This window comes from Homo sapiens, chromosome 2 (genome assembly GCF_000001405.40).
Source record: "Homo sapiens chromosome 2, GRCh38.p14 Primary Assembly".
Lineage (NCBI taxonomy): Eukaryota > Metazoa > Chordata > Mammalia > Primates > Hominidae > Homo > Homo sapiens.
The window spans coordinates 181,441,074-181,456,180 of NC_000002.12; positions in this window are offsets into that span (position 1 = coordinate 181,441,074).

The following is a 15,107-nucleotide window of genomic DNA, read 5'->3' on the forward strand; positions in this document are numbered from 1 at the left end:
AAAGAAGAGGGGGGCAGATTTTAATCTGTTAACAGACATCTGAGTTACAAATCAGAGGGATATAGAAGAACAAGAAGGCTGCCTTTACGTGTTTCTTTCTTCAGTTCAACTCCCATACAGCATCTCTTTTGATGTTATTTACAAGTCAGACTATGATCTCACTTCAAACAATACTCTTAGCCTGTGTACACCTCCTGTCTCTTTTAACTGAGTTCTCTTGTGAAAAATAGGGAATTTCTCTGCGTTGAAGTCAAAAGCCCTTTGGAATTCCTGTCTGTGAAAGATTATCAAATGAGGTTATAAAATCTTGGACTTTTGTTGTTATTGTTCTTAAAGACAGTTCTCCTGAATTAAAAAAATGTCTGATGCTACTGACAGTCTGATTTAGAATGTGAGTCTATTATGAGGACAGCGAGAGAGGTTTAATCCTGTCCCCACCCCTTATTCTGCTCTTGTAGTTTTTATTTTATGAAAAACCTAAGGGACTCAAAGTTACACAAATGCCCATTGGCAGTATCTACTGTTAATACCAGCAATGATCCCATAACAAGGATTCATTTCAGTCAAGCCACTAAAATTTTATTTGATTCAATGAAAATTTTTTCAGTGGAGCTATGAAAGCATTTTTGCCCATCCCCTAAACTATTACTTGTTGAAAACTGAATTGAATTTCATAAAGATTTATGAGCACTTCCAAAATCACTTAACAGCCAAAAGCCATGCGGTAACTTCACCCATGTTTGAATAAAACGTGACGCTGGTGGAAGTTACAGTTGTAAAAAAGAGTGGTAAGATTAGATTTGAACCATTTCCACCCAGACCTTGCTTTATCTACTGCAGGGCCCACAGCTCTGCTGTTAGTCCATATCTGCTGGCCCTAAAGAATTATATAAGATTGCTAAAACCATGGGCCTTTACAGTGTCAGCTTATTAAATTTTAGTATAACACTCATAAATATGGACAGAAATATAGGAGGGGCAATTATGTCTCAAGGGTAAATAACCTGATAATCATTCTAGAGTTTGAAATAGATTTATTTTTATATTTATACTTGAATATAGGAAGGTCAGTGGTCCAGTAATTATTTTAAATAAAAAGTTTCATTGTGAAAACTGAACAAACATAGATCTAAAAATTCATTCTGCTTTATTTCATTCCTTCAGGTCCATTTTTTAATATTTAACTCATGCACGTGAACAGCACTAAGCTAATTAGAGTGGCTTCTCAAAACTGTCTTGATAAAGAGAATGATTAAGAGTTTGAATTTCCAAGACTTTCTTAATTTACAAAGAAAACAAATTGTCAATCTAAAATGAGCTAAGCTAGGAATTACATAAATAGGTGCTATCACCATTTAAAGGTAAGATTTCTTGGAGTAATCATAGGTGATTACTCAGGGTAGACTTTTTCTGATGTCTTCAGATACTGAGCTTCTCTTCTCTATACACAAATAACATATGTGTGTCTCTTCTCTATACATTGGGGGAAAAATAGTTTAGAAAAATAGTACATTTGGATACCTAACCAGACCTTGAACAAACACTGTCTCACTTGCTTGTTAAAATGTTATTGTTAACATGTTCCCTGGGCAATCTCCATATCTTTTTTCTTTTTTTTTTTTAAGACAGTCTTGCTCTGTCACCCAGGCTGGAGCACAAAGGTACAATCACGGCTCACTACAGGCTGAAGCAATCCTCCCTCCTCAGCCTCCCGAGTAGCTGGGACTATAGGAGCATGCCACCATGGTGGTTAATTTTTGTAGTTTTTGGAGAGACAGGATTTTGCCATGTTGCCCAGGCTGGTCTTGAACTCCTGGGTTCAAGCAATCCTCCCATCTCAGCCTGGCAAACTGCTGAGATTACAGGTGTCAGCCACTGGTCCCCACCAATCTCAGTATCTTTAAGATACCAAAGACAAGTCATAGAAGTTTCAGCTCTGTTCACAGCCATTTCCCAGGAACATATGGACCTGTTGCTGTTTGGTTAGTTTCCACCTGTTTCTGAAACCTTACATGTATGTTTTATACCATTGTCTATCATTTCATTGCACCATAAAATGCTGCTTAGATCTCAAGCTTTACTGCAGCTTGAGAAAATGTATTTTATAAAGATCTAAACAAGTATAATTTATTATTATTATGATCATTTACCAGAAGGCTACATATGTAAGAGCGCAAAGGAAAGGGAGTTTTAGGAAAGGCAATTGCAAAACACTAGAAAAGAGTGTTATCCAACAGTTCTGGAAAGAAAAGTTAGTTTCCTAATATGCTTACACTTAACGAGGCCATAATATGCTAAGAAGATGATATAGATAGATAGTTGATTACAGATATTGATATATAGACAGATAGATGTTGATGTTTATTCATGATTCATGTATTTCTTCTTCTTGTTGCATCTTCTCACCTTCTTGAATAGAGTTATCAACTGACTGAATGCTCTTTACCTGTTCATCTATCTGTGTATGGTTTTCTGATTCCTATTGTGTGAAAGAAGAGAGTTCTCTCTGAAATAATAAGTGTTCTCTTGCTGCCTATGAAAACTAAAAACAATAACATTTTGGAAATGAATATAACTTTAGTGACAATCTGATTTACCCCTTTCATTTTAATAACAAGACAGTTGTAAAAATACAAGGGCAGTTCCATTATTAGGAACTTCAGGTCACTCAAATCCCTGTTTAGTTTCTGAAACTGGTTTTAAATAAGCCTGCAGATTTTTATGTGAACCATGAAAAGAATAAGCAATATTTTTACATTCTACAAGTAAAATTTTTATATTATTATTTTGTTGAATTAGTATTACCAACCTTGTAGACAGAAGTAAAAAAAAGATTTGAATTTAAAATATTTACTTTTATCTGCCATTCTAACAAGTTTTTTTTAAAGAAATGAACAACATACAGTTTTAAAATCAAAATAGTTATTCTAGTTTCTGTAAACAGAGGAAATTTACTTTACTGGGTCAATACACTGTGTAACTGTTATAAACAAAGCTGATTTCCAGTGTATACCAAAAATAGCACATCCAAGCTGTCTGCTGGTCTTTCAATGCACAGACATGAGAGAGCTGATATTATTTTTTATTTGTAGTAATATGCACAATACTTGACTAATGAAAATTATAATTATTTTCCCCAAAATTCTGCTGGGTTCTAAACCCTTCAGGAACTTCAGTGCATTAAATTATTTCTCTTATTTCCTGGTATTGTTCTTACAAAGTCGTATAGCCTCATTTCACTGTTTTTTCTTCCTATTTACTGATGATATTTTAGTCTTTCATGTTCTGTTATCCTTCTATCTAGTCTACAAGGACTAATGTTTATGTCCCCTCAGTTTGGTCTGGTGAAAGAAAGAAATAAAGAGAGAGAAAGAGAAAGAAAAAGTAAGAATAAGTTTAAAGACTAATATTTAACTAAATTTATTTTAGTCCCCCATACAACCTTTTGCTACTTTGAAAATCCCACTATTATATTATATTTTTTGTGCTATATCCACAACATATTTTGTAATTTGTTTGAAATTGTTTCCTAGTTTTGAGTTAGCTTGCCAGCTATTGATGCATAAGAACATATTGTTAGCTTGTTTTGTGTTTTCAGGATGCTTGGATATATGTACATATGCTTGCTGTGTGATCTTACTTTTATAATTATACTTTTTTCACCATATTCCTTTCCAAGATGCCTGGAACTCTGTTTTGTCAAGATGAAGCCATGTGTATGAGAATCTTGCGGTAAAACACCGTTGTGTAGCAGTTTTACATAAAATAGATTCTAACTCCTGATAATAAAGGAAAGTGATGCTGCAGACTCTCTGTGTATCTTGTGAACCTTAGAGAGCCAGTGTGGACCAGTTGTTAAATCATCCCAGTGTATAAATTCAATCTTTCAGGTCAGATTACTTATGAGATAAAAGGTTGTCACATAATAACTATGTGCCCTGAGAGGAGAATGATTTTATACCAAGTCTTTTATATACTGTAACAAAAGGAGCAATTGTTTCTTCTTTTGAACTGAAGCATGAAATAGACTTGGTTTTAAAAGTAGCAGTAGTTTCAGGAGTTTTGAAAAGAAGTGTAAAAAGTAATATTTATCAAAATTACCCTCCTACTGCAGAAAAATTGCCCTGAACATCCCATCCAGAAGAAACCTCCCCATCCGTTCTCTATTATGCACCATCTTGTGTGGCATTTGACAGCTACTGGCTTGATCTGTCAATTTACCAAAGTAAAGGGAACATGCTGAGAGGGAAGGGAAAATAGATTATGTTTGGGGTGGATAGAAAGAAAGTGAGTTTGAAGCCAAACATGGATAGGATTAAGCCCCAGGCGAGAAATTCTAATTTATTTGGGTTGAGTAGAGGGAGGAACTATTAGGATACTCCTGAGGACAGATTTGAGAAATGACATATTGATAGTTACGCTGTAGAAAAAAACCTACTTGTATATATTAAAAAGTGACAAGCATATACTGAAAAGTGACAAGAAAAAATGGAAAGATTTATTTATTATTTATTACCATGTTGCCCTTTTGGAATGCCCATCTAAATAAGATAATGATCCCAACACTTTTTGCCATGGTATGCATGGCATCTCTCAGTAACACATAACAGGTGTTCAATAAATTTGTTGAATGAGTGAATAAGTATAAGCAAATACAGACATAAATAGCTCTTCATTAACTAACATAATCTTCCACATATATGTCATTGCCTTGATTTCAGATTTTTATACATCGTTTATTTCTGTAGGTAGTTCATTTCTAAAAAAATGATAATATTCATGATGATGATGCTAAAAGGGAAGAAAAGAGTGATGAAGGAGAAAGGTCTATTTACTCATTATTTATTATGTGCTAAACATTGTATTATGTGCTTTGCCCTCATGTACTCATTTTCCCCATCCAACAAGAGAAAACTTAATTATACAAATAAAAACCAGGTTTGAGCAATACTAACAAATCACTCAAGGTTCTGATTGACAGTTGTAGCAGACGCTGTTGATGCCCTACTCCTTGGGCCACATAAGCCCAACCTGTGGCTGGGTAGACAATCTCATAACATTGGCAGCTTCCTAGCTCCCACGTTTTTGTCTCTCATTGCTGCCTGGGCATACCTGGGACCTTGCTTGCTGGCGAACAGGTACAATCTGCAAGTGTGGGGAGGTGATCTCTCCACCAGTGGAGGATGAGAGTCCTTAGATAGATGCCTCAGCCTCTCAGTCTTTCAGGGATCAGGGATTCTGAGCCATGCCTCATACACTTTCTCAGCAGGTTTCAGAAGTCTTACAATTGAGGAGAAGCCTTTGTTTCATATTTCGTTTAAAGCAACCTTGTCATTGATACCTATATTAAAGCATCAGGGCCAAGTGTGGTGGCTCATGCCTGTAATCCCAGCACTTTGGGAGGCCAATGCAGGTAGATCACTTGAAGCCAGGAGTTCAAGAGCAGTCTGGCCAACATGGTGAACCCATCTCTACTAAAAAAAAATACAAAAAATTAGCTGGGTGTGATGACATGCACCTGTAGTTCCAACTACTCAGAGAATCACTTTAACCCAGGCTTGGGAAACAGAGTGAGACTCTGTCTTAAAAAAAAAAAAAAAAAAGCATCCAGAAATGTGGTCTAATAGTCTGTATCTGGATAGAAGAATTGAGCTTCTTGTTTCTGGTTGGGAATTTCAGTACTATTTAAAAAAAAAAAAAAAACTATCATCTGAGTTTGGATGCCCTAAAAGCTGACCTTGAGGCAAGCACTTGGGTGTAACAGTTTATTGTGGGCAAAGGGATGTCTTAGAAAGTTAGATTAGAGAGAGGCAGAGAAATTGTAAAAAATGTTTTATGCATCTCTAATTGTTTTACATGCTTTACCTTAGTAATTTTTTAAAATCTAATTTTAAAAAGTGTAACAAAAAACACTACTTGCCAGACGTATCTACATGAATGTCACACCAATACCTCAGACTTATCTCTAGAACCCAGCGAGCACTATCTAAACACACTCTCCATCTCCCCCAACACCATGCACCCCTCCACCCCACCCTGTTCTTCCCCATTCCAACTCTTCCATCTGGTTGCTTTATGTTTTGTTTTTCATGATATTACCAGTGTCTCTGTCACCAGGTCTAAAAATGCCGGTCATATTTTACTTCCTTTTAGTACCAACACCACACAATACACATCAGGTTTTTTCCCCAATGCCTTACGAGTTCTTTCATTTTCCCTGCCCTGCTCTTTATGTAAGTTTGGGTCTTGAAACTGCCTTTATGCCTACACCATTTATCAGCAACCAACTGTCTTTTGTCTCCTCATTGTATATGATATTTAATTTGACTACATTATATTATCTAAGGTATATCATATCTTCCTTTGTAAATTATAAACTGAGATTAGGACTCACTTTTTATACAGTTTCATATCTGCCAAAGGACTTAGCGTATTGTTTTGCATGTAATAATTAATGAACATAAACCTATACATTTCCAGCTTATGACATTAATGATGTAAAAAGCCAAAATCATGTAAAGGCCATTTAAAAAATACAGAGCACCTGCTACTTGCCAGGTAGCATATAAAGTGCTAGAGATATGGTGGTAAACAACAGGAGCAAAACAAAGGATGTTTTCTACTCTCAAATTCTAGTGAGAAAGATATAATGAAAAAATATATGATTATAAATTAAAGAGTTCTGGAGATAATGAACAGGATTGTCTGGCAGATAATATTATAGTGACCTATTTTAAATTGGATGGGCAGAAAGTCCTCTGTGAGGACATCTTTAAGCTGAGATGGAAGAAAGAGAAAGAGGAATTATGTGAAAAGTCAGAGGCTATGTGTCCGAGAAGAGGTAATAATATGGTAAAGACCTTGAGGATAAAAGAAACCTTGATGCACTTAAGGAAATTAAGAAAGGCCAATATGACAAAAGCCAAGTGATCCAGGGGGAGTGACCAATGCTAAGGCTGGTGCTGTAGTCAGAAGCCAGATCATAGGGTCCTTTTAGGCCACGTTGAGTGTGGTTTGTACTACAAGAAAGCGATGGAAAACTATTTAAAGGATTTAAGCAAAGGAGTAGTTGCCTGATTCATTTAGAATCTTGAAAGTTCACTTTAGCTTCTGTGCAGAAATTTGATGAGGTGGGGGAATGACAAAGGGAGACCACGTAGCAGATTCTTAAATAGCCCAGATGAAATTATCTTGTGAAATGGTAGTAGCTGTGCAAAAGAAGATTCACATAAGATGGGCTTGAGATATATTTTAGAGGTCAAATTGATAGGACCTTGTGACTGATGGATTCTTTGTTTAAGTTAGAGGGAGGTATTACTTTCCAAATTTCTGGCTTGAACAACTGGTCAGATAGAGTGCCCAGTTGTTTTGAAAAGAAAGAGATTGGGTGGAAGAATAGTTTAGATGAGAAGTCAGGGAACCAGAACTCAGTGTTAGGTATGTTACGCGCACAATGCCCACTATACATCCAAGTGGAGATGTCTGGTAGGCAGTAGAACAAATGAACCCGGAACTCTGAAGAAAGGTCAAGGCTGGAGACATAAACTGGAGACTCATGATATTTGTTTATTTATTTCATGTCAAACAATTGAGGGTATATTTAAATAACTCATGAAATAGCTGATTGATTAACAGATATTGCAACATGTATATAAAAAAATCAAACTTTTTTTTATTATTATACTTTACGTTCTAGGGTACATATGCACAACATGCAGGTTTGTTACATATGTACACATGTACCATGTTGGTGTGCTGCATCCATTAACTCATCATTTACATTAGGTATATCTCCTAATGCTCCTTCCCACCTCCCTGCACCCCATGACAGGCCCCGGTGTGTGATGCTCCCCTCTCTGTGTCCAAGTGTTCTCATTGTTCAATTCCCACCTATGAGTAGGAACATGTGGTGTTTGGTTTTTTGTCCTTGTGATAGTTTGCTGAGAATGATGATTTCCAGCTTCATCCATGTCCCTATAAAGGACATGAACTCATCCTTTTTTATGGCTGCATAGTATTCCGTGGTGTATATGTGCCACATTTTTTTAATCCAGTCTATCACTGATGGACATTTGGGTTGGTTCCAAGTCTTTGCTATTGTGAATAGTGCCGCAATAAACATACGTGTGCATGTGTCTTTATAGCAGCATGATTTATAGTCCTTTGGGCATATACCCAGTAATGGGATGGCTGGGTCAAATGGTATTTCTAGTTCTAGATCCTTGAGGAATTGCCACACTGTCTTCCACAATGGTTGAACCAGTTTACAGTCCCACCAACAGTGTAAAAGTGTTCCTATTTCTCCACATCCTCTCCAGCACCTGTTGTTTCCTGACTTTTTAATGATTGCCATTCTAATTGGTGTGAGATGGTATCTCATTGTGGTGTTGATTTGCATTTCTTTAATGGCCAGTGATGATGAGCATTTTTTCATCTGTCTTTTGGCTGCATAGATGTCTTCTTTTGAGAAGTGTCTGTTCATATCCTTTGCCCACTTGTTGATGGGGTTGTTTTTTTCTTGTAAATTTGTTTGAGTTCTTTGTAGATTCTGGATATTAGCCCTTTGTCAGATGAGTAGATTGCAAAAATTTTCTCCCATTCTGTAGGTTGCCTGTTCACTCTGATGGTAGTTTCTTTTGCTGTGCAGAAGCTCTTTAGTTTAATTAGATCCCATTTATCAATTTTGGCTTTTGTTGCCATTGCTTTTGGTGTTTTAGAAATGAAGTCCTTGCCCATGCCTATGTCCTGAATGGTATTGCCTAGGTTTTCTTCTAGGGTTTTTATGGTTTTAGGTCTAACATGTAAGTCTTTAATGCATCTTGAATTAATTTTTGTATAAGGTGTAAGGAAGGGATCCAGTTTTAGCTTTCTACATATGGCCAGCCAGTTTTCCCAGCACCATTTATTAAATAGGAAATCCTTTCCCCATTTCTTGTTTTTGTCAGGTTTGCCAAAGATCAGATGGTTGTAGATGTGTGGTATTATTTCTGAGGGCTCTGTTCTGTTCCATTGGTCTATATCTCTGTTTTGGTACCAGTACCGTGCTGTTTTGGTTACTGTAACCTTGTAGTATAGTTTGAAGTGAGGTAGCATGATGCCTCCGGCTTTGTTCTTTTGGCTTAGGATTGACTTGGCAATGCAGGCTCTTTTTTGGTTCCATATGAACTTTAAAGTAGTTTTTTCCAATTCTGTGAAGAAAGTCCTTGGTAGCTTGATGAGCATGGCATTGGATCTATAAATTACCTTGGGCAGTATGGCCATTTTCACGGTATCGGTTCTTCCTATCCATGAGCATGGAATGTTCTTCCATTTGTTTGTGTCCTCTTTTATTTTGTTGAGCAGTGGTTTGTAGTTCTCCTTGAAGAGGTCCTTCACATCCCTTGTAAGTTGGATTCCTAGGTATTTTATTCTCTTTGAAGCAATTGTGAATGGGAGTTCACTCATGATTTGGCTCTCTGTTTGTCTGTTATTGGTGTATAAGAATGCTTGTGATTTTTGCACATTGATTTTGTATCCTGAGACTTTGCTGAAGTTGCTTATCAGCTTAAGGAGATATTGGGCTGAGACAATGGGGTTTTCTAGATATACAATCATGTCGTCTGCAAACAGGGACAATTTGACTTCCTCTTTTCCTAATTGAATACCCTTTATTTCTTTCTTCTGCCTGATTGCCCTGGCCAGAACTTTCAACACTATGTTGAATAGGAGTGGTGAGAGAGGGCATCCCTGTCTTGTGCTAGTTTTCAAAGGGAATGCTTCCAATTTTTGCCCATTCAGGATGATATTGGCTGTGGGTTTGTCATAAATAGCTCTTATTATTTTGAGATACGTCCCATCAATACCTAATTTATTGAGAGTTTTTAGCATGAAGGGCTGCTGAATTTTGTCAAAGACCTTTTCTGCATCTATTGAGATAATCATGTGGTTTTTGTCTTTGGTTGTGTTTATATGCTGGATTACATTTATTGATTTGCGTATGTTGAACCAGCCTTGCATCCCAGGGATGAAGTCCACTTGATCATGGTGGATAAGCTTTTTGATGTGCTGCTGGATTCGGTTTTCCAGTATTTTACTGAGGATTTTTGCATTGATGTTCATCAGGGATATTGGTCTAAAATTCTCTTTTTTTGTTGTGTCTCTCTCAGCCTTTGGTATCAGGATGATGCTGGCCTCATAAAATGAGTTAGGGAGGATTCCCTCTTTTTCTATTGATTGGAATGGTTTCAGAAGGAATGGTACCAGCTCCTCCTTGTACCTCTGGTAGAATTCGGCTGTGAATCCGTCTGGTCCTGGACTTTTTTTGGTTGGTAGGCTATTAATTATTGCCTCAATTTCAGAGCCTGTTATTGATCTATTCAGGGATTCAACTTCTTCCTGGTTTAGCATTGGGAGGGTGTATGTGTCCAGGAATTTATCCATTTCTTCTAGATTTTCTAGTTTATTTGCGTAGAGGTGTTTATAGTATTCTCTTCAAACTTTATTTTTAATTGATACTTTTTTTTACCTGCTGAGTAAAAGAACGTTATGCAAAAGCAAAACAAGGATTCCTCAAGGATTTTAAAGCCAATTATTGGGTGTGTAGAATATAGTAAGATAATATAATTTAAATTGTACCTTCTACGTACTCTTTCTTTTGTACTCTTCTATGAGGATGTTTAACACAAAAAAAAAAGACAGTCACGGATAATTTTAGAGGATTGTTTCTTCAAGTATTTTAATTGTATCCCCCACTGACCATCCAATACAGTTATTTGATATTAGTTGTGAATATCTTTTTTCCTTTTTTAACTTTGTTTTATTATGGTACAATATACATATAAAATGTATCATCTTTACCATTTTAAGTGTAAAGTCCACTGGCAATAACTACATTTATATATATATTTTTCCCTTTATCGCCCTCCACCTACCGTTTCCTCTCCTATAGTAACTACCATTCTACTCTCTATGTTCATGAGATTTGCTTTTTAAGCTCCCACATATGAGTGAGGGCATGCAATATTTGTCTTTCTGTGCTTGGCTTAGTTCACTTAACATAATTGCCTCCAGGTCCATCCATGTTGCTGCAAATGACAGGATTTTAATTTTTTTATGGTTGAATTATATTCCATTATGTATGTATGTTTCTTTATCCATTCACTCATTGATGGGCACTTAGGTTGATTCCATATTTTAGCTATTGTGAATAGTGCTGCAATAAACATGGGAGTGTAGATATTTCTTCAATGTATTGATTTCCTTTCTTTAGGATATATACCCACAAGAATTGCCAGATCATATCATCGTTCTAGTTTTACTTTTTTGAGGAACCTCTATTCTGTTCTTCATAGTGGCTGTAATAACTTACATTTCTAGCAGCACTGTATGAGGGTTCCCCTTTGACCCCATTTTGTCACCGGCAACTGTTTTTGCCTTTTTTATATAAGCCATTTTAACTGGAGTGAGGTGATATCTCATTGTGGTTTTGATATTCATTTTTCTAATGATTAGTGATGTTGTACATGTTTTCTTATACCCGTTTGCCATTTGTATATCTTCTTTTGAGAAATATCTGTCGAGATCTTTTGCCAATTTTGAAATTACATTCTTTGTTAGGTTTTAGTTTTGTTGCTATTGAGTTGTTTGAGCTCCTTATATATTCTGGTTATTAATCCCTCATCAGATAGTGTGCCAATGTTTTCTCTCATTATGTGGGTTCTCTCTACATTTAGTTGATGTTTTCTTTGCTGTGCAGAAGCTTTTTAGCTTGATGTAATCTCATTTGTCTATTTTTGTTCAGGTTGCCTGTGCTTTTTAGGTCTTACACAAAAAAATCTTTGCCCAGACCAATATCTTAGAGCATTTCCCCAATGTTTTCTTTTAGTAATTTCATAATTTCAGGTCTATAATTCATTTTGATTTGGTTTTGGTGTATTGGTTATTTCAATAGATGCTGAGATAGCATTTGATAAAATTCAACATTCCTTTATGATAAAAATTCTCACCAAAATGGATATAGAAGGAACATACTTCAAAATAATGAAGGCCATATATGACAAACCTACAGTCAACATCATACTGAACACAGAAAAAATGAAGGCCTTTCCTCCAAGGACTGAAACAGACAAGGATACCCCCTCTTACCACTGTTATTCTACATAGTGCAGAAAGTCCTGGCCAGAGCTATCAGGCAAGAGGAAGAAAGGAAGGGTATCCAAACTGGAAAGGAAGAAGTGGTGAGAAAGTTTTAATTTTATTTTTTTGCATGTAGTTATTAAGTTTTCCTAGCACCATTTATTAAAGAGACTGTTTTTTTCCATTGTATGTTCTTTACAGCTTTGTCACAGATTAGTTGGTTGTAAGTGCATGGATTTATATGTGGATTCTCTATTCTGCTCCATTGGTCTATGTGTCTGTTTCTATGCCAATACTGTGCTGTTTTGGTTACTATAGCTTTGTAGTAAATTTTGAAGTTAGGTAGTGTGATGCCTCCAGCTTTGTTCTTTTTGCTCAGGATTGCTTTGGCTATTCAGGGTCTTTTGTGGTTTCTTATAAATTTTAGGAATTTTTCTGTTTCGTGAAGAATGTCATTTGTATTTTGATAGGAATTGCATTGAATCTGTAAATTGCTTTAGGTAGTATTGTAATTTTAACAATATTAGTTCTTCCAGTCTATCACGGAGTATATTTCTGGGTTTTTGTGTCCTCTTCGATTTCTTTTATCAGAGTTTTATTTATAGTTTTTCCTTGCATAGATATTTTACTTTTTTAGTTAAATTGATTCCTAGGTATTGTACATTTTTGTAGCTATTGTAAAAGGAACTGCTTTCTTGATTTTTATTCAGATTGTTCACTGTTGTCATATAAATGCTATTGATTTTTGTATGTTGATTTTGCATCCTGCAACTTTACTGAATCAGATCTAACAGCTTTTAGGTGGACTCTTTAGATTTTTCTAGGTATAAGATCATGTAGTCTGCAAACAAACCTAATTTGACTTCTTCCTTTCCAATTTGGATACCCTTCCTTTCTTCCTCTTGCCTGATAGCTCTGGCCAGGACTTTCTGTACTACGTAGAATAACAGTGGTGAGAGGGGGTATCCTTGTCTGTTTCAGCCCTTGGAGGAAAGGCCTTCATTTTTTCTGTGTTCAGTATGATGTTGACTGTAGGTTTGTCATATATGGCCTTCATTATTTTGAAGTATGTTCCTTCTATATCCATTTTGGTGAGAATTTTTATCATAAAGGAATGTTGAATTTTATCAAATGCTATCTCAGCATCTATTGAAATAAGTATACCGTTTCTGTTTTTGATTCTGTTAATGACTTATATTTAGATGGTATTTAAAGACATAGGAAATGGGTTAGATCTCCTAAAGAGGGAAGATGGAAAGAGAATGAAAGAGTTTCCAGAATATAGCCCTGGGGGTTTCCCGCACTTATGGCGGAGGGAAGGGAGCCATCAGAGGAAACTCAGAGTGGCCAGATAGAAAGGCAGGAAAAAGCTTAATAAGGTGGTATCATGAGAAGAGAGTCTTCCTAGAAGGAGAAATGCTTACTCTTGATAAAAACTGAAAAATAGGGTGAGTCCACATTAGAATTCTCGCTACTGGGGAGGACTTTCTACACAAGGTTAGAGATCACTTGTATTTTGTCTACTATAATTTTAGTGCATAATGCATTTTTTTGGCATATAGTGGGCACTTATATACATATTAATCTGATGACATTTAATAATTGAGTGCCCAAATATTTATGTCGAGTTGAGAGCTAGGGATAGGCATGAGTCTTTCTTAAACATCCTTCTCTTCTCCTTCCTCCACCCCCTCACTTGCCTTCAGAAGCATTGATCAGAGAGATAGCAGTATCTTCAGTTTTTTTTAAAGCAACATGAAACACACTTTATTCCTGCTAACATTAGGAAAAGCGAGCTGTTTTCCAAGCCCTGGAGGAAGGAAATTCAGCTAACTAACGTGAGGTAATGTAGGGTGGCTATTTCTTGAAAGGTAGTGAATCATAACTATAACCATACTATGGAAAAAAGTCCTGCCTTACCAACCACTCCACTGACTGCTTGTCACCAAAACTACGCTATGAAACGAATTGTGTTGAGTGGCTTTCATTGTAAAAGATTTTGGTGAAGGGAGGGAAAGAAACTGGTAGGGGTTCAGATCAGAAGATCTGGCTTTGCCAGTTTCTGGAGGGTGTCAGAATGGCTTCAACATACCTACTTCCTTGGCCTCAACTGGAGGTTTTGTAGCTGTAAACAAGAAGGATTGCATAGTTCAGAATAACGACACTGTAAGCTCATTGTGGAACTGGGTTAAAATCAGCATGTAGATCTACTAAGAAAGAAACACACTCAGCACTACTACAGAAAGAAACAGCCATGGGCCCTGATTGTTAGCTTTCTGGAAGCCATTTCATTTTTACAATAGATTTATCACACACTGTATTGACTTTTTCCAGTATAGAGTAAGAGAAAGTTAATATTCCTCATGTTTTGTCTGTTGACAGACTGAAAATAATTGCATTGAGTTTGGCTAGAATATCCTGTCATTCCATAAACATCTCAAACTCCACATGGCTAAAACTTAACCCATCCATGCCCCCATCTGCATGCACACATACATGCATATAACTTCATTTCTCAGTGTTTTTTTCTCCATGAATGGTAGCACCATTCTCTTTCAAGAAAGAGAAATACTTCCCCTTGGGATTATCCTATCTCTACTTATTGCTGCAGGGGCTTCCAAAATTAGGTTTTCTGTGTTCAGTCTTGCATTCACACTTCTGAAACCCAGAGCTGACCGAGACAAATTCTTCAACTTCCTGTCAGTCCCAACATAGATTTAAAATTCCTAACCTGGCTCATGAGGTTCACCATGTATTCCTGCTTCCCTAAGTCAGCCTCATATCACACCAACCTGTGTGTGGAGTGGCTAAATACTCTAGCCAGGCAAGCTCTCTCAGTTCTTCTACCTGGCTCCTCTGGAGCCCTCCTTATTGCTCATCCCATTCTTAGCCTGATTCAAGATTCCTGGTCCTTCAAATCTCTCTTTAAGTGTCCTTACCTGGATCTTTCTCTAGTTAGTACAAATTTTTCTATCTACCATTGGAGCGAACAT